General features: G+C 47.6%; 1 long non-coding RNA gene across 1 annotated transcript; it reads right to left on the bottom strand.

The window, feature by feature from the left end:
• Window positions 1-78: 78 nt before the first annotated feature.
• Window positions 79-3,573, bottom strand: SUNO1 (S-phase upregulated non-coding 1). Its single transcript, NR_186328.1, has 2 exons — window positions 3,445-3,573; window positions 79-3,350 (listed from the first exon to the last, which is right to left on the bottom strand). It is a non-coding gene; the product is annotated as an S-phase upregulated non-coding 1 (long non-coding RNA).
• Window positions 3,574-27,053: the final 23,480 nt, after the last annotated feature.

The following is a 27,053-nucleotide window of genomic DNA, read 5'->3' as shown; positions in this document are numbered from 1 at the left end:
GGTGTTCACTGTATGATTCTTTCAACTCTTCCGCATGTTTAAAAATATTTTACAATAAAAATTGGTAGGAAGGAAGGATGGAAACCAAAACTAGCTAGCATTTATTATGTATTACCACGTGCTGGGTCCTGTCAGGCACTTTTACATTCACTATTGCATTTCATCTTCTCAACAACCCCACAGGTTGGTGCCATTTTCTTCATTTTACAGATGAAGAAACTGAAGCACAGAGAGGTTAAGTCACTAACATAACGAAACAGTGGTAGTAAAGGGTCAAGATGAGATTCCAATTCGGGTATGTGTGATTCTGTAACCTATGCTGTTAACTCTTTCAAGTCTAATCTAAAGCACCCAGCATCCCTGTCCACCCTCCATCCATTTCTTTGATAGAAAGTTAAAACAACAGGCTGGGAGTGGTGGCTCACACCTATAATCCCAACACTTTGGGAAGCCGAGGCAAGAGGATGGCTTGATCCCAGGAGTTGGAGACCAGCCTGGGCAAAATAGTGAGACCTCCCTTCTCGGCTTCTAAAGTACCTGGGACTACAGATGTGTGCTACCACGCCCAGTGCACCTCTCGTCCCAGGTACTTGGGAGGCCGAGAAGGGAGGATTGTTTGAGTCCAGGAGTTGGAGGCTACAGTGAGCAATGATCGTGCCACCTCACTCCAGCCTGGGTGACAGAGTAAGATCCTGTCTCAAAACAATAACAACAACAACAACAACAAATGGCTTCTAATGACTCCTTAATTTTTACACTTCTCCAGTATTAGATTGTATTTTCATAGGAGGAAAAATAAAGTTCTGATTTAAGGTGTCTTCCTTCTGGGATGGGGCTGTCTCCTTCCCAGCATTCTTGGCAGCTGGTGCTAAAGAAAATCTCCCAAGTGCTAGGAAAATCTTTCCTCAGTGTGGGGCTTCAAAAGTGGCAAAAAGTCATGTTCATAGTCTCCTTTTGTTCTCACTGCAGTCCGGAGATGGGGCAGGCTCTTTTCAGGAATGAGAACACTGCGAGGCTCACAGACTTAAAAAATGGACCAAGGTCACACAGGATTAAGGGGCAGGACGGTCTCGAACTCACGTCTGTTGGTGCTAGTCCAGCGCGCTCTGCTCGCGGTTCTCTTAACTGGTCTTCAGGCTGCTTTCCATCTAAATCACGCCTGGAGATTAAAGCTGCACTTGCTCTCCAGTGCCCGCGGTTTCTGCGGGTGTCTTCCAGCCATTGTACTTCTAGATCAGCATTCCTCTGATGACTCAATCCCGCAGAGCTTCCGAGCCCATCATGGGCTCAGGCTTTGCGTTTTCGCCGGGGGCCGGGAAGGTGCCTGAGTGTCGCATCCATGTTTCACCGTGGCCCTGGGAAGGCCGTGCGCGGAGACCTGGGGTGCCCATCTTCCCAGCAGCTATGGGCTTCTAGTCTGCGTCTTGGAGGCCCAGAGAGGACGCGGCGCCTGTCCCGTGCGGTCGGCAGGGCTGCGGCCCAGAACAAGCTGGGGCGGCCTCCCTCCTGCTCTGGCCCCCAACAGGGCGGAGCTGGAGCCCCCGCGCGCGCCGGGTCCCCCGAGGGCCCAGCCGCTCACCCTGGGCCCCGGGCGTTTTTGCAGCTCCCAGCCCCGCGCGTACGCAGCAGCTCGGATCTGGGCGGGCCAGGCCAGACCCTTCCTTAGAGACTTGGGGCAAGGGCTGGGGCCCGCCGCCACCCCATCTGGAGGCTGAAACGGCGGCCCACAGAGGTGGTGGCACTGGGCCGAGGCCGTGCAGCATGGGGGTGGCAGGGCCGCGACCCAACTGCCTCCACCCCGGGGCCCACGCCCGCGATGGGGAGCTGGAGCGCGCCGTCTGGCTTCCCCGAGGGCTTTTCCCACAGAGCCGCGGCCCAAGGTTCTTGCCTCCGCCTGGGGTCTTCTGAGCACCCAGCTCTAGAAAGCTCTGCTGGGCGACCTGGAGGCAGGGGGAGGCAGCTGCACCGCGGCTGCTGATGGCCAGAGCCCGAGGGTCGGGTTTCTTGGCAACGGGTCCCAGACACAGATCGCGCCCCTCTTCCCTATTCTCTCCCCTGTCCCCTCCCCCACCGAGGCTCGGCGGAGTCACTGCCCGGGACCGCAGGGCGAGCTCAGGTGTGGCCTAGGGGGCGCGTCCTGTGGGCGGGGAAGGCGTGGGCGGGGGTGACCCGGGGCTGCCCCAGCTGCAGGCCAGCGATTCCCGGACCCTGGCGGGCCGCGCAGGGCGGGGGGGGAGGGTGGTGGGGTGGGGGAGCGGGGAGTGCCCGAGGCGGGGGCGACAAGTCTGTTTCCGCCCGGCCGCCGCCTGCTCCAGCTGAAACGAGTCTTTCCGGTGGGACAACCCAGCCCGGCCCGCCCCGCCCCGCCCGGCCTCCCGGAACCGGCCCGGAGACGCGCAAGACCCCGCCCAGGCCGAAGGCGAGCTCCGGGGCCAGGCAGACCGTGGAGTAGCTGCCGAGGCGGGCGAGCCCGAGTCCCGGGTTCCAGCCCGGGCTGCCAGCCTCCTGGCGCTTTTCGCCCCCGACCCCCTCTCCGATCCGGTGGGTCCCCAGGGACACCCTGGCAGGCGATGCTGGAAAAGCTTCTTGGGTGATTCTGAGAATCACGGTCCAGCCCTACTTCACTACACTTGGGGAAACTGAGGCACTGTCCCAAGGCCGCACCGCGAGTTAGCAAACTGCAAAGCCTGCGAGGAGGGCCTGGCAGACGCCGTGATTTTCCCAGGCCTGAGTCCTGGGAGATCTAGGTTAGGCCAGAGGGGCCGGGGATTCAGGAAGTCCTGGGCGCCTGCTGCCCCGACAGCTCCGCGGGGTGGGCCCAGTCGGGGCGCCGCGAAGGTCAGCAGCCTCGCGAAAATCAACAGGAAGACGCCTTTCTTTCCTCAATCCGGGAGTGGAGATTCCGTTTAACTTCTGCAGTCAGCAGGACAGGAAGCGCTCTCTGTCTCAGGCTGGCGCTAGCAGGGACCCGAGGGAGTGTTCATGGGAGCCAGGTATTGGAAGCGAGGCATCCTTCATTTCCTCCGCAGTGAGGTCTCTGATCGCCCGAGTCTGGTTTTTCAAAATCACATCATGTGAAGACCCCAAGGGGAGGTACCCGGGAGGATTCCTTTATATGCTCAACCTTGACTCAGACTTGCAATCGGCATTTGATCAAGAAACGTGGTCAGTTCTCCAAACGCAAAATCAATCGCTGATTTTACTTTTTTACTTGGCATTTCCTTGGGATATTCTCGATCCTGGGAAGGAAAGATGATGAACTATTGTCTTCAATTCTGTCCCGCTGAGCATCCTTCCTGGATTCAGGATTTCCTGGAGCCAGACCTTAGTAGCTTCAGGTTTATGGCTTTCTGAAAATATAATTTTGATGAATTTTAATCTATTGCTCAAGTTAGAAAATCCCTTAATTACAGGAGAAAACATTTTCAAAGAGAAAGGCCAGACCTTTAGAGCAGGCCCTGGAGCCGTGCTGCTTTGAGAAAATCTCTGGGTAGGCAGGGCCTCTGCTTCAGCTGACTGGCCGGGAGAGAACCAGGCAAGAATGTGTTTCCCACAGCTGTCGGGCCCACCTCTGCCAGTCAGTTCTTGGCTAGAAAATAAATAGTGACTCATGCCTGTAACCCCAGCACTCTGGGAGGCCGAGGTGGGCGGATGACCTGAGGTCAGGTGTTCAAGACCAGCATGGCCAACATGGTGAAACCCTGTCTCTACTAAAAATACAAAAAATTAGCTGGGCTTAGTGGCACGTGCCTGTAATCCCAGCTACATAGGAGGCTGAGGCAGGAGAATCGCTTGAACGCTGGAGGCAGATGTTGTAGTGAGCCGACATCACACCATTGCACTCCAGCCTGGGCTACAGCAGCAAAACTCTATCTCAAAAAAAAAAAAAAAAAGGTTTGCTTAAAGTCGCTCAACCTCCTGCAGAGGACTGTAAGGAGAGAAAGCATTGTCTTGGTTACAATTGTGTTAAAATTGGGCTTTGGTGGCCACACGGTATCTGAGATGGGTATTTCTCCTAAAGTATTTCCAGCTATTAAGTGAGGAAGAATCAATAGACAGAATATCACTATTTTGCATCCCTGATGAATGAATGGATGTAGGCACGATTAGCAGTGGCTGCTGACATCAGAAAAAGAGATCACTCCATTTCCCCACATTATATGCCTTGAAATAAAAAAACTCAGCATCAACTATGAGGTGGTCTAGACATCTCTTGGGGCCCCACTGAACCCCCATGAATGATCAGATTCAGGTTTGATATATGGAGCTCTGAGGGGTCCCAAAAGGTGTCTAGACCACTGAGATCAACCACAGTGGTCCCCCCTACCCACCGTCTTGCTTTGATTTCAGTTACCCAAGTCAACCGCAGTCTAAAAATAGTAAATGGAAAATTACAGAAAAAAAATTTGTAAGTTTTAAATTTCGTGCCATTCTGAATAGCACAATGAAATCTCCTGCTGGCCCGCTCTGTCCCACTGATAGGGGAGTTAAGAAGAAATGATTTAGGCAGATAGTGAGGGTAAGGAAGTCCTTGGTAAGGTTTTCCTTTTAATGGAAAGCAGCCCCCAAATCATTTTCTTTTCTAACAAAGAGCAGCCTGTAAAATCGAGCTGCAGACATAGACAAGCAAGCTAGAAGCTTGCACGGGTGAATGCCAGCAGCTGTGCCAATAGGAAAAGGCTACCTGGGACTAGGCATGTTCAAAAAGGCGGCTCAATCTTCCCTTCTCTTTGCCAGACATGTGTACACCAAGGAGCAGGCAACATAACCCCGGCCAAGCAAAGACCCCATTTACATAATAAGATTAGGGTGGGGTGGGCTGGGCGAGGTGGCTCAAGCCTATAATCCCAGCACTTTGGGAAGCTGAGGGCCGGGGGAGGAGGTGTCGCCTGCATTCAGGAGTTCAAGACAAGCTTGGCCAACGTGGTGAAACCCCGTCTCTATTAAAAATACAAAAATTAGCCAGGCCTAGTGGTGGTCGCCTGTAATCCCAGCTACCTGGGAGGCTGAGGCCGGAGAATTGCTTGAACCTGGGAGGTTGCAGTGAGCCAAGACTGCGCCACTGCGCTCCAGCCTGGGCAACACAGCAAGACTCTGTCTAAAATAAAAAAAAAGATTAGGGTGGGGTAGCCGGCTTCCCTGCGAGTTATGTAAACATCACACCTAGTCCAACCAATCTTTGGGCCCGATGTAAATCGGACACCGCCTCCTCAAGCTTATCTATGAAATCCAGTGCACTCCTCCAGGGCTGCCGGCCGGCCCCCCGCCCCGCCCCGCCCCTCCCCGCCCCGCCCCTTCCCCCCCGCCCCGTCTCTTGTGGGAGAGAGTGCTATTCTCTTTTCTCTTTCTTTTGCCTATTAAACCTCCGCTGTTAACCTCATTTCACATACATCTGGATCCTTGATTTCCTTGGTATGAGGCAATGAACCTCAAGTATTTACCCCAGACAACGAAGCCACTCCACCACCCTGATGCGATCATCCCCTTGTGTATCTACACTGTCCATACCACCTGCCCATTAGTCACTCAATACCCGTCTGGGTTACTACATCCACATTCACGTAACTCTTATTACAGTGCATTGTTGTAATTGTTCTATTTTATTATTAGTTATTGCTGTTAATCTCTTGCTGTGCCTAGTTACTGTTGTTAATCTTTTACTGTGCCTAGTTTATAAATTAAACTTTATCATTCATATATATATATATATATATGAAGAAACATACTCTACAGTATGTAGGGTTTGCTATTGTCCATGATTTCAGGCAGCCACTGGGGGTCTTGGAATATATCCTGGAGGATGGGGGGGGACTCCTGTACTAATTTACATGAAATGAAAACTGCAGGGGAACATGTTAAACAGCACTATGGGGACATAATCAAAACAATCCAGCTCTTGTAAAACCGCAGGATAAACGACCCAGTTCTTCAATAATGAATTGCAAGGAAAATAATCACATTTAGATTCTGAATCAAACAAATGATAAAAAGAAAAAAAAACTAACGTTTTTAGGACACTTGTGAATTTCAATACTGATGGGATATTTGATATTTTAAAAGTCTTCTTAAATTTTTTAGAAACGGTAATATTATGGTGGTATTTTTAAAATTATCTTCTGAAAATACAGGATAAAATATTTAGAGGGAATGATAGGATATCTGGGATTTGTGTGTAAGTAGTTTTAGATGGGGCAAGGGAAGTGTGTGAAGATATAGATGGGAAAATGATGGGGCATTAGTAATGTGTACATGGTGGGTCATTCTGTTATTCTCTATATTTCATATCATGTTTAAATTGTTTTTTCAGAGTGTTCTGAAACTTTTGAACTGCTATTGGAGTCTGGCTGAATTGCCTGGGCTGGGGCTCAGGACAATGGAGACTCAGTGCACTTTGCAGATACCCCTTCTCATGTGTCCCTTCAGCAAATGATATTGAGGACCTTTTGTTTTCTTGAGCTCCTGAAATGATGGAGCTCACACTTGAGATTAGAAAATAATGAAGAAGGCCAGGCGCTATGGCTCACGCTTGTAATCCCAGCACTTTGGGAGGTTGAAGAGGGTGGATCACCTGAGGTCAGGAGTTCAAGACCAGCCTGGCCAACATGATGAAACCCCATCTCTACTAAAAAACACAAAAATTAGCTGGGCATGGTAGCAGATGCCTGTAATCCCAGCTACTAGGGAGGCTGAGGCAGGAGAATCACTTGAACTGGGGAGGTGGAGGTTGCAGTGAGCCGAGATCGTGCCATTGCACTCCAGCCTGGGCGACAGAGTAAGACTCCCTCTAAAACAAAAAAAGAAGAAAAATAAAGAAAATAAATGAATGAAGGATAGAGCCACCAAATGGAAGCAGGGAAGCCTTTGCCGAAGAATGAGTGTTTGATATGAGGACTGGCAGGTGAAAAGGAGTTTTCGGCATGGTGTCTGTTCATCTGTAACATAAGGTGGTTAACGTTAGACTCTATCTACAAGGAGGATCCGTTTAGTCCTAACAGATTCTGTGATTATAGCCTAGCTAAAACCATTTTTTTTCTTCTGTGTGTCTCTCCAAGGAGTTGAGAGGACCAGCCCCCACACCATGTACTTCCTGTCATTGTCCCTTATTTTATTAACTGAAGCAATCTGATTTGAGTGGCTGGTCTTGAATCTCCCACTTGTGTTCAGAGGCCCAAACATTATCATACAATCAGTCCATGGCCTTTTTAGAGGATAGTCTCTAGGGCTCACAGATTCGTTTCTGCTCATTCAGTTCCCAAAGCAGTTCACTAAGCAGCCTTACCTATACTTTCGCTGGTGGCTATGCACAGCCTTGGTAATAAAACCTACTTGTGCTTCAAAACGTGAGTGCCTGCAGTAGATGCCCTCAGCCTTCCCAGCTGTTCTTGTCCAGCATGCAGCCTGGCCTTCAGGTTAACTAGTTCATCCTGATACTCTGCCAGAATGGGTCGAACTTTGTGCTTTGAAGGCCCTTTTCCCCATGTGGCATGAACAACCTGCCAAGATCAAGCTTGCAACAGCTGTAGTTATTTGACAAGTGGCTGGCTGTATCACCTCTCCACTCTGCTGTGCAAAATTATTTGTGTGTGTGTTCTGTTTATTCTTTTCTTCTTCTCAGGGATTTTTTTTTTTTTTTTTTTTTGAGACAGAGTCCCCCTCTGTCACCCAGGTTGGAGCGCAGTGGCACGATCTTGGCTCACTGCAACCTTCACTTCCCGGTTCAAGTGATTCTGTTGCCTCAGCTTCCCAAGTAGCTGGGATTAGAGGCATGCGCCACCATGGCTGGCTAATTTTTTTGTATTTTTAGTAGAGACAGGGTTTTGCCATGTTGGCCAGGCTGGTCTCAAAGTCCTGACCTCAGGTGATCTGCTCGTCTCGGCCTCCCAAAGTGCTGGGATTATAGGCGTGAACCACCACACCCGGCCCATCTTCTCGGTTTTTATGGATGTTTGTACTTTAAAAGGACAATTTCTGAAACTTTTGGATAAGTAAGATGAGAATCTTTAAATGTGATTGCTATATGTTTATTGAATGGGTTTACCTGAGGCATAAACAGAGAGGCAAACACAGTGTCTTCTTAGGGACCTAACAAGCATACTACAAGATGACCCAGAGCCTGACAGAAGGCTGAGAAGGCTAGAAGCATCCCTAATTCTTGCTGCTATAAAACAAACGTATACTTCACTAAGAGAAAAAGTACCGGAAAGTTAACTGGGATGTATTGTATGTTTCCAGTGACTGCTCAAACGCTTCTTATACTAATTTAGTTAGAACAATTTATCTTAACAGAGAACTATAATTTTCCACTCTTTCCAACCAGTTTAACCAACTTATACTTTTTAAACCCACCCAGATGGAATTTATGAATTCAAAGCCAATACCCTAAACCTTAATTTTTATGCTAACCATCATTATAGGTGAGGAATTATGCTAAAGGAACAGTTGAGATCTCTTCTTCTGGCTCTGGAACGCCAGTCTGGATCAAATGAAACTTCCCACCTTAAACAACTGGAACAGTTAGATAATTTTAAAAATCTGTTTTAAAATATCAGAGACTGGCCAGGCATGGTGGCTCATGCTTGTAATCCCAACACTTTGGGAGGCCAAGTGGGGTGGATCATTTGAGTCCAGGAGTTTGAGACCAGCCTGGGCAACATGCTGAAACCCCATCTCTACTAAAAATACAAAAATTAGCTAGACCTGGTGACATGTACCTGTAGTTCCAGCTACTTGGGAGGCTTAAGCAGGAGAATCGCTTGAATCCAGGAGGCAGAGGTTGCAGTGAGCCAAGATAGTGCCACTACACCCTAGCCTGGGCGACAGAATGAGACCTGGCCATGAAAAAAATAAATAAATAAAATCAGAGAGCTATCCAGACAGTGAGGACTTGAGAGGGGAAGATCCTAGAGAAAGGGAAACCTAGAAAGATGAGCCTAACATTTGGCACTGTTCTTCCCCTCCAGGCATTTGCTTCTAGGAGCAGTGATTTAAAGGCTAAGAAGCTGGGCAAAGCTTTGGCAGTCTCAGAAAGGCTCTGGTAATACCCTAGGCTTTTGGTTACAGCCTCTGATCAACTCTCAAAAAAGATTCAGCTTTTATTCAAATCAGATTAAGATGCTCTGCCTCTATACTAACTGCTTGACAAAAGCAAAATAAACTCTCTGGAGAAAGATACCATCATCTACAGCATCACATTGGTTCTACAATTTTTCATACAAAACATGCAGCATTTGTTCAAAATATATGAGGCATATCAGAAGACAAGACCAAATGACTCAAAACCAAGAGAATAAATAGAAAACAGGCTTGGCATGGTGGCTTACACCTATAATCCCAATACTTTGAGAGGTGAGGTAGGAGGATCACTAGAGGCCAGGAGTTCGAGACCAGCCTGGGCAACATAGTGAGACCCCCACCTCTACAGAAAGTTAAAAAAAAATCAGTGTGTGGTGGTGCACATCTGTAGTCTGGGTGTGCTACTTGGGAAGCTGAGGTGGGAGGATCACTTGGGCCTGGGAGATGGAGGCTGCAGTGAACTGTCATTGCACCACTGCACTCCAGCCTAGGCAACAAAGTGAGACCTTGAAAAAAAAAAAAGAAAGAAAAAGAAAGAAAGAAAAGGGAAAGAAAGGAAGAAAGAAAGGAAGGAAGAAAGAAAGAAAGAAGGAAAGAGAGAGAAAGAAAGAAAGAAAGAGAAAGAAAGAAAGAAAATAGCAACTGACCTACAGGAAACCTAGTTATTGGAGGTATCAGACACAAACTTTAGAATAACCTCTGATTGATAATTCAAGGAGACAAAAGACAAAGTGGAGAATTTCAATTGAGAATGGAAATATATAAAAAAGAATCAATGGATGTTCTATAACCAAAAAATATAACTGAAATTAAGGACACATTAGATGAATTTAAAGCATCTTAGACACAGATGAAGAGATAATTAGTGATTTGAAAGATACATCAGAAGAAACTATTTGGACTGAAAACAGAGACAAATAGATGGAAAATACAGAAATGGTATATCACATATTGAACATAATACTATCATAAGTATAATTGAAGTCCCAGAAGAAGAGGAAAAGGAGAGAGATAATAAAACAGAAGCAATATTTGAATAGATAATGGCCAGGAATTCCCCAAAATTGATGAAAGACATGAATCACAGATCCAAGAAGCCCTGCAGTATTGTAGTATTATGAATACAGAGAAAATCACTCATAGGCACATTACAGTAAAACTATTGAAAACAAAATAATAAGAGAGAGATAATCTTAAATGCATCCAACTAAAATGACAGATTACCCTTACTGGAACTACAATAAGACTGACAGCTAACTTTTCAACAGGAACCATGGAAGCCAGAAGCCAGTGGAATGACATTTTAGTGTTGAAAAGCCAATCTAGAATTCTATAACCAGTAAAAATACTTATTAAGAATGCAAGTCAAATGAGGATATTTTTAAATGGACAAAAATGAGAGCACTTGTCATTAGTAACTGTGCACTAAAAGAAATACTAAAGGAAATATTTCAGGCAGAAAGAAAATGACAGATGGAACTTTAGAAAGGCAGGAAGGAATGGAATGTAATATGCAGCAGAGAGGGTAAATAAATGGATAAATCTTAATGAAGATTGACAAAAATAATGTTTTTTCCGGTTTTATTTTTAACCAAATATACAATTTTTCTTCCTTTTTTTTTTTTTGAGGTGAAGTCTTGGTCTGTCACTCAGGCTGGAGTGCAGTGGGACTACAGGTGTGCCCACCAAATCCGGCTGGAGTAGCTGGGACTATAGGCACACCCATCACATCTGGGTAATTTTTGTATTTTTAGTAGAGACAGGGTTTTACCATGTTGGCCAGGCTGGTTTCCAACTCCTGACATCAAGTGATCCACCCACCTTGGCCTCCCAAAGTGCTGGGATTACAGGTGTAAGCCACCGTGCCTAGCCTGTACATAAGAATTAAAATGCATTACAATAGAAAAAAAAGTGAGAGGGAGTAAATAGAGGGTTATAAGCCATGTTAAGGTCCTTGCATTGTTGACTAAATGGTAAAAATTACTCATTAATTTTAGATTTTAATAAGTTAAGGATGCATCTCATGATCTTAGTTTTCTTGGGATGCATTAACAAAATACCACAGACTGGGTGGCTTAAACAACAGAAATTTACTTTTCACAATTCTAGAGGCTGGGAAGTCCAAGATGTGAATCCCAGCAAGATCAGATTCTGGGGAGGGCTCTTGTTCTGACTTGCAGATGTCCACCTCCTTGCTGTGTCCTCATGTGGCAGAGAGAGGGGAGATGAAGGTCGGGACAGAGCGTGCTCTCTGGAGCCCCTTCTTATAAGGACGTTAATCCTATTGGACCAGGGCCCTATCCTTGTGACCTCATTTAACTTTAATGACATCCATAAAGGCCTTATCTCCAAATACAGTCACACTGGGGATTAGGCCTTCACATATGAATTTTGGGGGAATGCAGTCCAGTCCATAGCATAACTATAGCATAACTAGTAAAGGAATGGTAAAAAAAAAAAAATATATATATATATATATTATATATATATAATATATATAAATATATATATATTATATATATATAATATATATAAATATATATATATTATATATATATAATCACTATATATATAATCACTATATATATATATATATAATCACTAACAAGCTAAAAAAGGGGGAAATGACATTTAAAAAATTTTTCTTTCTTTCTCTTTCTTTCTTTCCTTCCTTCCTTCCTTTTTTTTATGATGGAGTTTTCACTCTTGTCACCCAGGCTGGAGTGTAATGGCACAATCTCAGCTCACTGCAATCTCCACCTCCCAGGATCAAGCAATTCTCCTGCCTGAGCCTCCCAAGTAGCTGGGATTACAGGCATGCAACGCCACTCTTGGCTAATTTTTTTTTTTTTTTGTATTTAGTAGAGACAAGGTTTCACCATGTTGGTCAGGCTGGTCTCAAACTCCTGACCTCGGGTGATCCACCCACCTTGGGCTCCCAAAGTGCTGGGATTACAGGCATGAGCCACTGTGCCTGGCCAAAAAATGTTTTTCTTCACCTCCTTTTTCTTCACCTTATTTGCAAAAAAAGGCAAATAGAACAAAAGGAACATAAAATAAGTGAGACAAATAGAAAAAGAAGTAGAAACACTGTAGATTTAAATTCAAATATATAAGTAATTAGATGAAATGTAAATAGACTAAATACTGCCATCAAACTACAAAAATTGTCATACTGCATAAATAACCAAAATCCAACTAGATGTTGAGACACACCTTAAGCATAAGAAGAAGAAAAGTAGAAAGCACAAAGATGGCCCGGGCGCGGTGGCTCACGCCTGTAATCCCAGCACTTTGGGAGACTGAGGCGGGCCGATTACTCGAGGTCAGGAGTTTGAGACCAGCCTGACCAACATGGTGAAACCCCGTCTCTACTAAAAATACAAAACTTAGCCGGGCATGGTGGCACATGCCTGTAATTCCAGCTGCTTGGGAGGCTGAGACAGGAGACTCGCTTGAACCCGAGAAGTGGAGGTTGCAGTGAGCCGAGATCGCACCACAGCACTCCAGCATGGGCAATAAATAGAGTGAGACTGTCTCTCAAAAAAAAAAAAAAAGTACAAAGATCGAAAAAGATCTGCCATGCCAACAATGACAAAAGAAATATTTGAGTGGCAGAAGGATGGATCTTTCTAATGTGACCACATGAATTGGCCACTATCAGTGGTGGTTAGTAGAAACGTGTTCTTCTGACTTGCATTAAATCATATCAACTAGGTCCTGGATACTTGTGAAGCCACTCATTTTCATATATCAGCTCAAAGACAGGGTCACACTCTTCTTGTCCACTGAGCCATCTATACTAACAGAAGCTGGTGGAGTTCACAGCTCCAGAGAGAGGCAGACATGCACAGAGAGGACCCCAAATCAATGAGCATGCACTGTCCCCAAGACCCAGGAACCTGACCACTGAGCGACTTGCTCTTCCTGGAGAGTCTGTTTGCTCCTTCCTGTTGGCCTTCCTCAAATATGTATTGGGCACCTACTCTGTGCCAGGTGTTGTTTGAGGCACAGTGGGTTCTATGCTGAAGAAGACAAAACCATGGAGCTCACCTTCTGGTGCTGGTGACATTTCAGCCAGCTCTAAGAATGTGAAAAGGTATCTGCAGAGGAATAGAAAACAGCCAGGCATTTCTGGCAAGGGAGCTGCAGATGCAGAAGAGCAGAGTTTATGCACAGCATTGCAGTGGGGCACCGGGAGTGGATGCAGAAGGGCAGGGTGTGTGCACGGCATTGCAGTGGGGAGACGGGAGTGGATGCAAAAGGGCAGGGGCATGTGCACGGCATTGCAGTGGGGGTGCCAGGAGTGGATGCAGAAGGGCAGGGTGTGTGCATCGCATTGCAGTGGGGAGCCTGTGGTGGATGCAGACGGGCAGGGCGTGTGCACAGCATTGCAGTGGGGGTGCCAGGAGTGGATGCAGAAGGGCAGGGCATGTGCATCGCTTTGCAGTGGGGCACCGGGAGTGGATGCAAAAGGGCAGAGCGTGTGCATGGCATTGCAGTGGGGGTGCCAGGAGTGGATGCAGAAGGGCAGGGGCGTGTGCACGGCATTGCAGTGGGGAGACAGGAGTGGATGCAGAAGGGCAGGGCATGTGCATTGCATTGCAGTGGGGAGACGGGAGTGGATGCAGAAGGGCAGAGCGTGTGCACGGCATTGCAGTGGGGCGCTGGGAGTGGATGCAGAGGTAAGGACAGTTCGTTGGGCCTGGTTCAGGAATCGGCCAGGGAGTGACAATCTGTGACACCAGAATCTGTTGTCTGGGAGATCAGGGGTGCCCCCTGCCAAGGCTTCTCTTCCTCTTCAGCAGGTAGCCTTTCCCTTGAACACCTCTGTGTCCCCTCTCAGCTGAGGAAGCTGCCTGTGTGAGAACCTCAGTGTGGTATCCCTTTTCCAGACACCTTTCCCTAGGAGTTGGCTGTACCTGGACCATGTCACCTGTGGGTATTTGGAGAGGATCCACCTTTAGTTTCATACCCCATTTAGCTTGAATCATGAATCAAATAACATTCGGGAATAAGACTCTCTTTGCTTAGCATTGAGGAATGAACTTGCACTACTGCCTCTCCCCTCTCAGGGAAGGAGTCTTTGAGAGGCTGTGGACAGCCTCATTTTCTTCCTGATTAAAAAAATTACTGCAGAGGCTGGGGGCCGTGGCTCACACCTATAATCCCAGCACTTTGGGGGCTAAGGTGAGAGGATCATTTGAGCCCAGGAGTTCAACATCAGCCTGGGCAACACAGCAAGATATCATATCTATTTAAAAAAAGAAAAAAGAGGCTGGGCACGGTGGCTCATGCCTGTAATCCCAGCACTTTGAGAGGCCAAGGTGGGCGGATCACCTGAGGTCAGGAGTTCGAGACCAGCCTGGCCAACATGGTGAAACCCCATTTCTACTAAAAATATAAAAATTATCTGGGTGCAGTGACGGGTGCCTGTAATCCCAGCTACTCGGGAGGCTGAGGCATGAGAATCGCTTGAACCCGGGAGGCAGAGGTTGCAGTGAGCCAAGATCGCACCACTGCACTCCAGCCTGGGTGACAAAGGGAGACTCCATTAAAAAAAGAAAAAAAAGAAAAGAAAAGAAAAGAAAAGAAAACTTCCTGAGGAAGGCCAGCAAACCCCTGAGAGCAAAACCATCATCATACCTTACCTTAGTCAAAAGAGACCTTTTTGTCCAGAGAAATGTTTTTTTGTTGTTGTTGCCTTGAAGTTATGATGTTTGACTCAGAAGAGAAATCTTAGCCATGAATCTCACTAATGGAGTAATCTTTAGCACACTGGGAGAGAAAGCAGATAATTCTGCAGAGATTGTAAAATAGATGCCTTCATCATTAAAATTTTCAGATGATAAACCCCTTGCTCATAGATGAAAAATATGATTTTCATGTAATTATAAAGTAGTAGTACCCCTACAACTGGATGGCTGAAACTCTATTTTCCTTTGAAAAACTGCTTAACAGTTGAAAATGAGAGGGGACTCTGCTAAACAGTTTACAAGTTTACAACTCTGGGAATCTTTATAACATCAAGAGTTAGGCGTCATTCTTATCTCCATCTGCAGATTCATTTAATAAGCTACTGTAACTGTTACCATTCTCTTCCAGGCCCTTATTTAAAGCACTTGACCTAGTAACATCTTGTTCTTCACAGCCACATTACAAGGTAGGATTCATTCCCTCATATTTTAGATGAAGAAATTGAAGCTTTGAAGAAAACAGTTCACTTGCCTGAGATCTTAGGTAGTAGCAGGAACTATTCTACTTAGCTTGTTTTTTTTCCCCTGACTTTAGGCCCATATTCTTTCCAAAATACTAATTCATCTTAAAAAAAAAAAAAAGTGAGTGGGGAAGATTTTTCTTCCTAGTTATTGATCTTTGTGAAATACTTACAAAATTAAGAGCTAACAGGCCACATGCGGTGGCTCACGCCTGTAATCCCATGACTTTGGGAGGCTGAGGAAGGAGGATCACTTGAGGCCAGGAGTTCAAGACCAGCCTGGGCAATGTGATGTGACCCCAATCTCTACAAGAAGCTAAAAATTAGCCAGGTATGGTGGCACACACCTGTAGTCCCAGCTACTCGGGAGGCTGAGGCAGAAAAATGGCTTGAGCCCAGGAGTTCAAGGCTACAGTGAGGTATGATTATACCACTGCACTCCAGCCTGGGTGATGACAGAGTGATACTCCGTCTCAAAAAAAAAAAAAAAAAAAGAAAAAGAAAAAGAAAAGAAAAAGAAAGAAAGAAAGAAAAAAGAGGGAAGGGGAAAGGGAATGCACCTTTAGAGAGCTATTATTATTATTATTATTATTATTTAGACAGAGTCTCGCTCTGTCCCCCAGGCTGGAGTGCAGTGGCACCATCTCGGCTCACTGCAACCTCCACCCCCTGGGTTCAAACAATTCTCCTGCCTCAGCCTCCTGAGTAGCTGGGACTACAGGCACCAGCCACCACACCTGGCTAATTTTTGTATTTTTAGTAGAGATGGGGTTTCATTACGTTGGACAGGCTGGTCTCAAACTCCTGAGCTCAAGTGATCCACCCATCTCTGCCTCCCAAAATGCTGGGATTACAGGCATGAGCCACCACATCCAGCCAAGCCCCTATTATTTTTGATTTCATTGATCTCTATAATCACCCAATTCGGGAGTGTTGATACACTAGAGATTAGAAATTAAGCCACCAGGAGGTGAAGTAACTTGCCCTGAGATCCCAGCTTACACATTGAGGAGGTGACCTACAGATGCCATGTCTTTTGACTCTTGGCCTACTGCTCTTCCCAGCATACTAGGCAGCTGAGAGGTGGGCTTCCTAGAGATCTTCTTCCCCACTTGTGGAGCTCCTGGGCTTGGGGGTGGCATTTGGGGAGACCAGGGGAACACATTTCAGGCTCTGTGTCTGCTCTCCTGATGGGTAGAGATGGCCTAGGTAGGGTTCAAAGCTGGAGCCTGCCCCACCCCTTGCTCACCCTGTGGCCCCCTGCCTGCAGACTCGGCACCAGCCTTTCATCTCCTGGCGGGTGATAGGATGAGCAGGGGAAGGTGGCAGAAGGCCTTGGTCCTTGTGGGGGATCCTCTGGCCATTACGATCCTGGCTTTCCCTTGACAGTTTCTGGAAGGTTCACATACTCATTAGGAACTGGTGTCTATGTAAAATGGCTTCTTTGGCTGGAGCAAGGTATTCTCCTGATCCACTTGGCCAACAATGTGACTCCACAGCTACACAGGGAGAAGAGAGAAGAGAAGACGGCTCATTGGTGTCTTAGTTGGCTTGGGCTGCCATAATAAAATACCAAAGCCTGGGTGGCTTAAATCACAGAAGTTCTAGAGGCTGGGAAGTTCAAGATCAGAATGCAGCACAGTCAGATTCGGGTGAGGGCTCCCTCCCGGGCATGCAGACAGCTGCCTTCTTCCTTTATCCTCACATGGCAGAGAGCTCTCTGGTATTTCCTCTTCTAAGGGCACTAATCCCATCATGAGGCCCCACTCTCATGACCTCATCCAAACCTAATTACCTCCCAAAATCTCTGTCTCCAAATGCCATCATGTTGGGGGTTGGGGGGGTCTTCAATGTATGAATTTTAGGGGAACACAATTCAGTACATAGCAGTTGGGTTTTTGCCTTTGGGCAAATCCTTTAATCTCTTACCAGTGTAATGGGCATCTTATAATTTTTTTTTTTTTTTTGAGAAAGGATGTTGCTCTGTCACCTAGGCTGCAGTGTAGTGTTGTGATCTCAGCTCACAGCAACCTCTGTCTCCCAGGTTCAAGCGATTCTTCTGTCTCAGCATCCAGAGTAGCTGTGATTACAAGCATGCACCACCACACTCAGCTAATTTTTGTATCTTTAGTAGATGTGGGGTTTCACCATGTTGGCCAGGCTGGTCTTGAACTCCTGACCTCAAGTGATCCACCTGCCTCAGCCTTCTAAAGTGCTGGGATTGCAGGTATGAGCCAACACGCCTGGCCATATATTATGACTTTAAAGGGGTAGTGAGTAGGAGCCCCTGCCCCGCTGTCTGCTTTTTGTCCTGTCTTTTTCAGAAGCCTTTTGGCAGAGTCACATCTGGGCACCAGGAGAGTGCTAACCTCCCCTACTGAGAAAAATGGCCCTCCAGTGGGCTTCATGCTGTTTCCCCAGGGAGCTCAGTGGGGTAGGGGGTGGGGAGGGAAGATTCCCCTCCAAGGAACTTGGACTAGGCACCTGGAATCCAAAGAAGGTGGCTACTGCCCCCACTTGAAGGTGAAGCCATTGATTAAGTGGCCTGTGTATCTTTTATAGCCTTCCAAATTTGCTTCTTTTTAAACCTCTAAAGTTTGAACCATGTAGGTTCAGCTGCTAAAGAGATTTTACAGACGCCATTGCCCCATTTTCTGTTGGGTATATGTACCTCAGCCTCCCTGCCCCAGCCACCTCCCTCCTATCCTCAGGAGACTTCAGGTACTAACTAGAACTTTCTTTCTGGGACCCAGCCACCAGTGTCTGGCAGGACCTCACCCTGTGTGCTCTAGGTGAAGTCAGGGCTCCGAATGGAGGTTTAGACGCCTCAGCCCTGCTCTGACTCTGCTTCTGCACCCCGGGATCTGCACCATGGACACCAGCCCAAGCCCCAGGACTTCCCATGGGCTGAAGATTTCTTGTGCTGGACTTACGACCATTTCCAAACAGCCTGGACTCAGACTTTTCCCTTGACTGAACTCTGGTCTTGACTTCTGATTGGCAATGTCCCCTCTCCCATTTACCTGTGTCCAGGAACCACTGCCGGACTCCCCATGGCTTCCCTGCCTTCCCTCTGCACACACATTGCCCACTTACACCCCAGAACACGAGCAACTGTCCTAGGCCTTCTTGGAACCTGTGTTCTCCCTTCCTGCCCTGTGGGACAGGCCTCTCTGATCGCACCTGCCAGGTGGCTTAGAAGGAGGCCAAGTCAAGCCTGGAGGAAGGGCCGCTTGGGTGGGGCACTGCAGCAGAGCTGGTGGTGTGGATGGCCCTGTTGTGGCCTAGAAATGGGGTTTTGCAAAATCGCTCAGTAAAAATACATGTTCTCGACTAGGTGCGGAGGCTTGTGCCTGTAATCCCAGAACTTCGGGAGGCCAAGGCAGGTGGATCACCTGAGGTCAGGAGTTTGAGACCAGCCTGGCCAACATGATCAGGCCTGGCCAAACCCTGTCTCTACTTAAAATACAAAAATTAGCTGGGCGTGGTGGTGCACACCTGTAATCCCAGCTGCTTGGGAGGCCGAGGCAGGAGAATTGCTTGAACTCAGGAGGCGGAGGTTGCAGTAAGCTGAGATCACACGACTGCACTCCAGCCTGGGTGACAACAGAGTGAGACTTGGTCTCAAAAAAAAAAAAGGCGGGCGGGGTGGGGGAACATGGCGCAGTGGCTCACGCCTGTAATCCCAGCACTTTGGGAGGCTGAGGCGGGTGGCTCACGAGGTCAGGAGATCAAGACCATCCTGGCTAATACAGTGAAACCCCATCTCTATCAAAAATACAAAAAAAAAATTAGCCGGGCATGGTGGCACATGCTTGTAGTCCCAGCTACCTGGGAGGCTGAGGCAGGAGAATCGCTTGAACCCAGGAGGTGGAGGTTGCAGTGAGCCGAGATGGTGCCATTGCGCTCCAGCCTGGCAACAGAGTGAGACTCCGCCTCAAAAAAAAACAAAAACAAAAGACAAACCAAAAAACAGAAAAACAACCCTCCCACCCTCCGCCAAGAACCAAAAAAACACAAGAATACATGTTCTCCCAGGGGCTGAAGCTTCACGGGGGGACGGGGGTCAAGGATGGGTTCAGTCCCAGATGATGTGTTCACACACAGCCAAGTAATGAAACCAACCCTGCCCTTTTGACTGTTCACCCCAGACAAAGTGTCACCACAGCAGCTGTGTGAAGCTGGCCCATGTCAGAAGGCACTCCGGGCAACATAAAGGGCTTTGTGTGTGTTTCCTTATTTTTCTCTCATAACCACCCTGTGGGACACATAGTGATGTCTCTCTGAAAACCCAGACTCAGAGAGGTTGAGTAACTTGGCCATAGTCACACAGTACATCCATGACGGAGTAGGATTCAAAGCCGGACCTGCTGAGGCCAAGGCTCATGGGGCACTTGGGCTAGGGGGTACCCCTTCTGTGGTCCCCCCATGCTGTGTAGGCTCAGAGTAGGGGCAGAGAACCCACATTTTAAAAGCAATCTCATCTTCTTCTTCTTTGAAAAAAATACATCATCTGCCACTCTGCAGATGGGACTGGGTTTCACAAGTTTGTGGACCTTGACAAATGCAGGATGCACAGGACCAAAGGCCACTGTAGCCATACCCCGTCAGGCTAATGAACCAGCAGAGCTGAGGGTGCTGGTTCTTGCCTGGCCTCAGTGCCTGGAGTTGACCCTCCCTGACACCATGTTGAAGCTCCGCAGAGATGTCTGTGAGGGCTGTGCCCACACACGGGTCTAGGTAGCTGGCCAGAAAACCTTCCCCTTTGCCAAAGTAATCATGTATCTCACGGGATGCATGTGCTTGAAATAGCTCCTTCTGAGACCTGGTGCCTCCTCCTGAAGGGACAATGCCCAGTTTTAGTGACGTCTGGTATGTCCAGACAGCTCAAGGCCCCAAGGAGGGCCTCCCAGTCAGGCCTCTCCAGGGACAGAGCAGAAATCTCCACTCTGCAGCCTCTGACCTGGCTCACCCCTCTCTCCCTTGACTGCCCAGAAAGGACCCCAAATCCCAGGCCCTCTGATTGCAGGCAGCCACATCTCACCAGCCACTGCGCCCAGCTTCTCGGCCAACCCTGAGCTGGGCGAGGGGCCAGGCTCCCTGACAGCGGCCGGCCTGTTGAGGCGACGGCCAGGGGATGGCGGCCACGGCTGATTGAAGTCCCTGTTTCCCTGGTACAAAGGCAGCATAATTAATCAGGCAGTAATGAATTCAGGTGGCACCGGCTTGTCACCTCGAGAGATAGGTTATCTGGGAGGGCTGGAATTCAAAAGAGGGAATCAGGTCACCATTAGGATTTTTCAACATTAAATGTTAAAATTAAGTGAGAATTTATTGGAATTTGACCAAAATTTGATCTGTTCACCTGCAGGAATCCCTCCCCCAACTCTCTCTCTCTCTCTCTCCTCTTGGGGCAGGAGCACCCAGGGTGCGTGGGCCTCTGGCCTTCACCAAGGTTTTCTCAGCTGGTGGGGGTTGGGGGACACTCTGTGTGTGCTCCTGTTACCCAGCATCCTCTGAGGTGGGAGCTGTGAGGAGGGGGGAATGGGAAGGTTCCCCTCACTGAGAAGCCCAGCTCCCTAGTACTCTGCCTCCAGAGGCTCAGGGGATGAACCAGGGCACCGACCTGGTAGGGAGAGCATGGGTGTTGCCTAAGGGTACAGGGCCCTGAGGCCAGGCCCTGCCCACACTCACCCACACGCTCCTCAGCGTCCGGGAGCAACCCGGCTCAGCTCAGCCAGGGTCATGGGCACTGCAGACAGGCTGATCTGAATTCAAATCCCAGTCTTCCCAAGGCCCCACTGGGAGGTTTGGGGCAACTCTTGGAACCAGGTGTTGGCATCTGTCAGCATCGTGGGGTTAAAGGAAGTGGCAATTGTGCTTGTTTAGGACTTGCGTAAAGCAGGCACTCACTGTGGAGGCTCCTGCAGGTGGAGTCCCTCAGAGCATCACATGTCAGGCCAAGGCCAGTGAGGAGGCCAGCCCGTTTGCGGCTGCAGAGCTCTGTGCGTTCACAGGGTAGCCTGCAGCTGCTGCAGCCTACACCCATCTCCAAAGTGAATTAGGTGGTTTGAGATCCCACATGTCCCCAGCACCTGTGTGTGCCTAAGCAGGGAAGCAGCAATGGTTTGAAAAGAGAAACGAGACATACAATAGGTGCATGAAAAAGTACACATCACTAACCACCAGGCAGTGCAAATCAAAACCACAATGAGGTATCTCCTCACACCTGTTAGGATGGATATTATTATTATTATTTGAGATGGAGTCCCACTCTGTCGCCCAGGCTGGAGTACAGTGGCATGATCTCGGCTCACTGCAACCTCCGCCTCCCGGTTCAAGTGATTCTCCTGCCTCAGCCTCCCAAGTAGCTGGGTTTACAGACATGCGCCACCACAACAGGCGAGTTTTTGTATTTTTAGTAGAGACGGGGTTTCACCAAGTTGGCCAGGCTGGTCTTGAACATCTGACCTCAGGTGATCCATCCACTTCAGACTCCCAAAGTGCTGCGATTACAGGCATGAGTCACTGCACCTGGCTCGGATCGCTATTATTTAAATAAATAAATTTAAAAAAGGCAATAAGTGCTGGCAAGGATGTGGAGAAAAGAACACTGGTGCACTGTTGGTGGGAATGTAAATTGGTGCAGCCATCATGGAAACCAGTGTGAAGGTTACTGGAACAAATAAAAACAGAACTACTATATGATCCAGCAATGCTGAGTATCTCAAAAAGATACTTACACTCTCATGTCCATTGCAGCACAATTCACAATAGCCAAGATATGGAAACAACCTAACTGTCCATTGATGGATGAATGAATAAAGAAAATGTGGTGTATACACGATGGAATACAATTCAGCCTTAAAAAAGGAGATCCTGGCCGGGTGCGGAGGCTCATGCCTATAATCCCAGCACTTTGGGAGGCCAAGGCGGGCGGATCATGAGGTCAAGAGATCGAGACCATCCTGGCCAACATGGGAAACCCCGTCTCTATTAAAAATACAAAAATTAGCTCGGTGTGGTGGCGTGCGCCTGTAGTCCCAGCTACTTGGGAGGCTGAGGCAGGAGAATCACTTGAACCCAGGAGGTGGAGGTTGCAATGAGCTGAGATCACACCACTGCACTCCAGCCTGGCGTCAGAGCAAGACTCCGTCTCAAAAGCAATAGTCCCAGCTACTTGGGAAGCTGAGGATGGAGGATTGATTGAGCCCAGGAGGTTGAGGCTGCAATGAGCTGTGATTGTGCCACTGCACTCCAGCCTGGGTGACAAAAAAAGACCCTGGCTCTAAATAAATAAATAAATAAATAAAGGGAATGGGAGAATCTTTGGGAGGTGATGGATATATTTATGGCTTTGATAGTGGTGATGGTTTCATGGCTGTGTATAGTATCCCATCAAGTTGTATGCATCAGTATGTACAGCTTTTTATATGTCAATCATAGATCCATAAAGTGTTTTTTTTTTTTTAAAGACAAACTACTCAATTTTTTTTTTAGGGGCAAAGAATATGAACAGGCAATTCACAGAAGAGGTATGAAAAAGGACTTGTAAAATGTATTACCAAAAAAAAAAGTTTGACCCTACCAAATCTTAAGGGAAATACAAATTAAGCAACACTTGTCACCCATCACAAGGGCAGCAATTTAAAAGTCCGATAGGTACTAGCAGGCCTGTAAGGGCGCTGCTCCCAGAGGATGCTGGTGCCCCGTGTATCAGTACAGCTGCACTTTGGATGCCCTCAGAGCTAGAAATGTGCATACCGTGAAACCCAGCAATTTCCCTTCTGTGTTATCTACCCTCGAGAAATGTATATGTGCACAAAGAAAGCGTCTCTGAAGCAGCATTGGAAATAGCAGAAGCCTAAATGCCCATCAATATCAAAATGCCTCAGTAGATAGAAGCAGTTCACAGCATGGGGCTTTATACAAAAAATTTTTTTAAGTGACTTGGATCTGTGTGTATGCAAATAGATCTTTAAGAGGTATTGTTGAGTGAAAAAAAAATGCGTAGAACAGTATATATGTAAAAAAAGTAACCAAACTCATCAATAACATTTCGCATGCCTCGGCCGGGCACAGTGGCTCACGCCTGTAATCTGAGCACTTTGGGTGGCCGAGGTGGGCAGATCTCTTGAGGCCAGGAGTTCAAGACCAGCCTGGCCAACATGATGAAATCCCGTCTCTACTAAAAATACAAAAATTAGCTGGGCATGGTGGCGGGTGCCTGTCGTCCTAGCTAGTCAGGAGTCGGAGGCGGGAGAATCGCTTGAACCTGGGAGGTGGAGCTTGCAGTGAGCCGAGATCGTACCACTGCACCCCAGCCTGGGAGACAGAGCGAGACTCCGTCTCAAAAATAAAAATAAAAATAAAAAAATTCACATGCCATAGTTTTAATGAAGTCCAATGTATGTTGCAAAAACAGGAAACATTTCTGAAAAAAAAATTCCAAAGTCAGTGCTTCAGTGCTTACCTGTTGGGGAGCTGAAGTGGGTAGCCATGGATTTTTAGAGGTCCAAGGAGACTTTAGCGTCTCTGTAATGTTACAGGGTTTTTTGGAGGCAAACGGGTTAAAGTTCTCCATGTAAAATATAGGTTAGTTTTTGAAAGAGGGTTGGCTGGGTAAAGAGACTGCATCTAGGGGCTCTGGGCGTAATGCAAAGTGAAAAGCTGTGAGAATGGCTGGGAAGGAATGTTAGCGAAAGGTACTTTAAACAAACACCCTCTGGGCTTGCCCAGAGGGGAAACGGAGGAGAGTGAAAAACCCAGGAAGCCTGGAGGAGCAGGCGGGGAAGGGGAAAAGCCAAATTTGGGCCAGGCATTGGAGATTGCTTTGTCCTTGGTGTGCCTGACTTTTCGGCAGGCTGGGAACACGCGGAAATGCATTTCCTGGTGCTTAAGTTTCCAGCTGGGACAACAGAGGTTCTTCCCACAACCCCTCCTCCTCCCTTTAGCTAAGATCTGTTTACCCTAGTGCTCAGACAGGAAGTCTTTATTATTTTTGCATAGGGACCTAGAATGAAAAATCAGTGGTCCTGCCGCTGACTCCACTGAAGGCACCATCCGGAGGAAGTGGAGTGTGGTCCTGGGCATGCCTGCTCTGCCCAGGGCTGTGCAGCAGGGCAGGAGGTCTGTACCTTCCCACGGAAGCTGCGGGTCCTCAGGCTTACAGGGTTGATCTGCGATTGCAGCCGCCTGGCCAAGCCTCAGCCCTGGGCTCAGCATCCCTGCCCAGAGTTAGGCCTGTGCAAGATAACAGAGTGAAAGCAAACCTGTCTCCAAGGCTCCATGGCATGTGGGCTCTGGAGTCTGATCTGACTTCACATCCCGGCTCAGCCCTGAGGCCAGCATGTGTATCTTTGTGCAGCCTCAAATTTGCCATTGCAGTTGCTGGAGACTAAGCAAAATAATGTATATTGTAGAGCTCTCAGCTCCATGCATGGCATTCAGTAAGCAATGGTGCTAGTTAGTGATAATGATGCCAATAAAATACATCTCCTCTTGTCTTTTCAAGACCTTTATCAGAACAGCAAACCAGCTGGGTGTGGTGACTCACATCTGTAATCCCAGTGCTTTGGGAGGTCAAGGTGGGAGGATCGCTTGAGGCCAGGAGTTCCAGACCTGCCTGGGCAACATAGCGGAATCCTGTCTCAACAAAAAATTAAAAAAATTAGCAAGAGGTAGTGATGTGCACCTGTAGTCCTAACAGCTTAGGAGGCTGAAGTGGGAGGTTCTCTTGAGCCCAGGAGTTGGAGGCTGCAGTGAGCTGTGATTATACCACTATACTCCAGCCTGGGTGACACAGTGAGACCTCATCTCTTTGAGAGAGACAGAGAGAGAGAAGCAAACCATTTTATAATATGAATGTGGCTTCGAATAAACAAAATAATTTACCTTTAGCGTGATGTACGAGAAAAGCTCTAATTTAATTCAGTAACTCTCCCATCCTGGGTTTGTTGAAGTTTTATTGTTAATCTGTTTCCTAAATCTTTGTAAAGGTTTAGGAGGGAGACTTCAATGAACTTGGCTTGCCAATGGCCAGTAAAGAAGTTGTTTCTAGGGAGGCAGAGGCAGGAGGATAGCTTGAGCCCAGGAGTTTGAGACCTACCTGGGCAATATAGCAAGACCCTCTTCTCAAAAAATAAATAAATAAATAAATAGGCCGGGCGCGCTGGCTCACTCCTGTAATCCCAGCACTTTGGGAGGCCGAGGCAGGCGGATCACGAGATCACGAGGTCAGAAGATCGAGACCATCCTGGCTAACACGGTGAAACCCCGTTTCTACTAAAAATACAAAAAATTAGCTGAACGTGGTGGCAGGCGCCTGTAGTCCCAGCTACTCCGGAGGCTGAGGCAGGAGAATGGCATGAACCCGGGAGGCGGAGCTTGCAGTGAGCTGAGATCGTACCACTGCACTCCAGCCTGGGTGACAGAGTAAGACTCCATCTCAAAAAATAAAAATAAAAAATAAAAAATAAAAATAAATACATAAATAAAACAAAATAAAAGAAGTTGTCTCCTCCTCCCTAACAGAGGGGTGTTGAGAGAAGTGGCTCCTCCACAGCCATGTTAGCTGGTCCAGGCTGGAGCCTGGCGAAGCTGAAGCGGATGTCAGCAGGCATCTCTTCCCCAGGGCAAGGCCAGGACCAGGATGATGGCAGTGAAGCACTTGCCTGAGGGCAGGCTTTAAGGAGGTGCCCAATAACCCAGTAATAAATAGATACTATTTTAATGCAATATTTTAAAAATAAAAACTAATGCAAAAAAAAATCTAAGATGAACAAAATTTCACCATACTAGACCATACTTCTTGCTGCTCAGGCTATCTTCCTGACCCTGTCAGTTCTCAGGTTTCTAACATTACCTTTCCTGAGTTCTCTAGAGCTGGTCTCTCTCTGCCTAGGTCTACAGGAAGGGAGCTGGGAGGTAGGTTTTGTGGGGATGAGCTGGGAAAACTGTCTTTTTTTTTTTTTTTTTTTTTTGAGACGGAGTCTTACTCTGTCAGCCAGGCTGGAGTGCAGTGGTGTGATCTCAGCTCACTGCAACCTCCGCCTCCCAGGCTCAAATGATTTTCCTGCCTCAGCCTCCTGAGTAGCTGAGATTACAGGTGCACATCACCATGCCCAGCTAATTTTTTTGTATTTTTAGTAGAGACGGGGTTTCACCATGTGGGCCAAGCTGGTCTCAAACTGCTGACTTCAAACGATCCTCCTGCCTCTGCCTCCCAAAGTGCTGGGATTACAGGTGTGAGCTACCACTCCCAGCCCTTGGAAAGTCTTCTGGACACAATCTTGTGTGTGTGTGTGTGTGTGTGTGTGTGTGTGTGTGTGTGCACATGCGTTTTTTTATTTTTATTTTTTGATAACCTTTTTGAGACAATAAGAGATTTAAACAAAAGAAAACGTAGAAACAAGCGCTAGGAATACGAGGGTGTCTAGTAGAATAAACAGATTTGAAAATTGTTTTAGAGAAAGCTTTCTACTTTCCATTGTCTGATCTTTCAGAAAACACCCAAGGGTTTGCAAAACCAAGAACAATTTTCCAGTTTTAAGCACCTTCACCTTCCCCAAACAATGCTGCTGCCATACGTACAGGGCCAAGTATAGACACTGTCTTCCCCTCCAGGATCTGAGGGTTTTGTTCATCTGGCTTGAGAGCTCAGTGGATTTGGTTTCAGGCACACCCCTTCCCAATCTGAGGCTCATCCCTCCAACCCTGGCCAGTGGGGCTGGAGGCCCAGTCCACAGTGATAGGTCTCCCTCAG

The sequence above is a fragment of the Homo sapiens genome, chromosome 19 (assembly GCF_000001405.40).
Source record: "Homo sapiens chromosome 19, GRCh38.p14 Primary Assembly".
NCBI lineage: Eukaryota > Metazoa > Chordata > Mammalia > Primates > Hominidae > Homo > Homo sapiens.
This window is presented reverse-complemented; position numbering and strand designations above follow the sequence as displayed.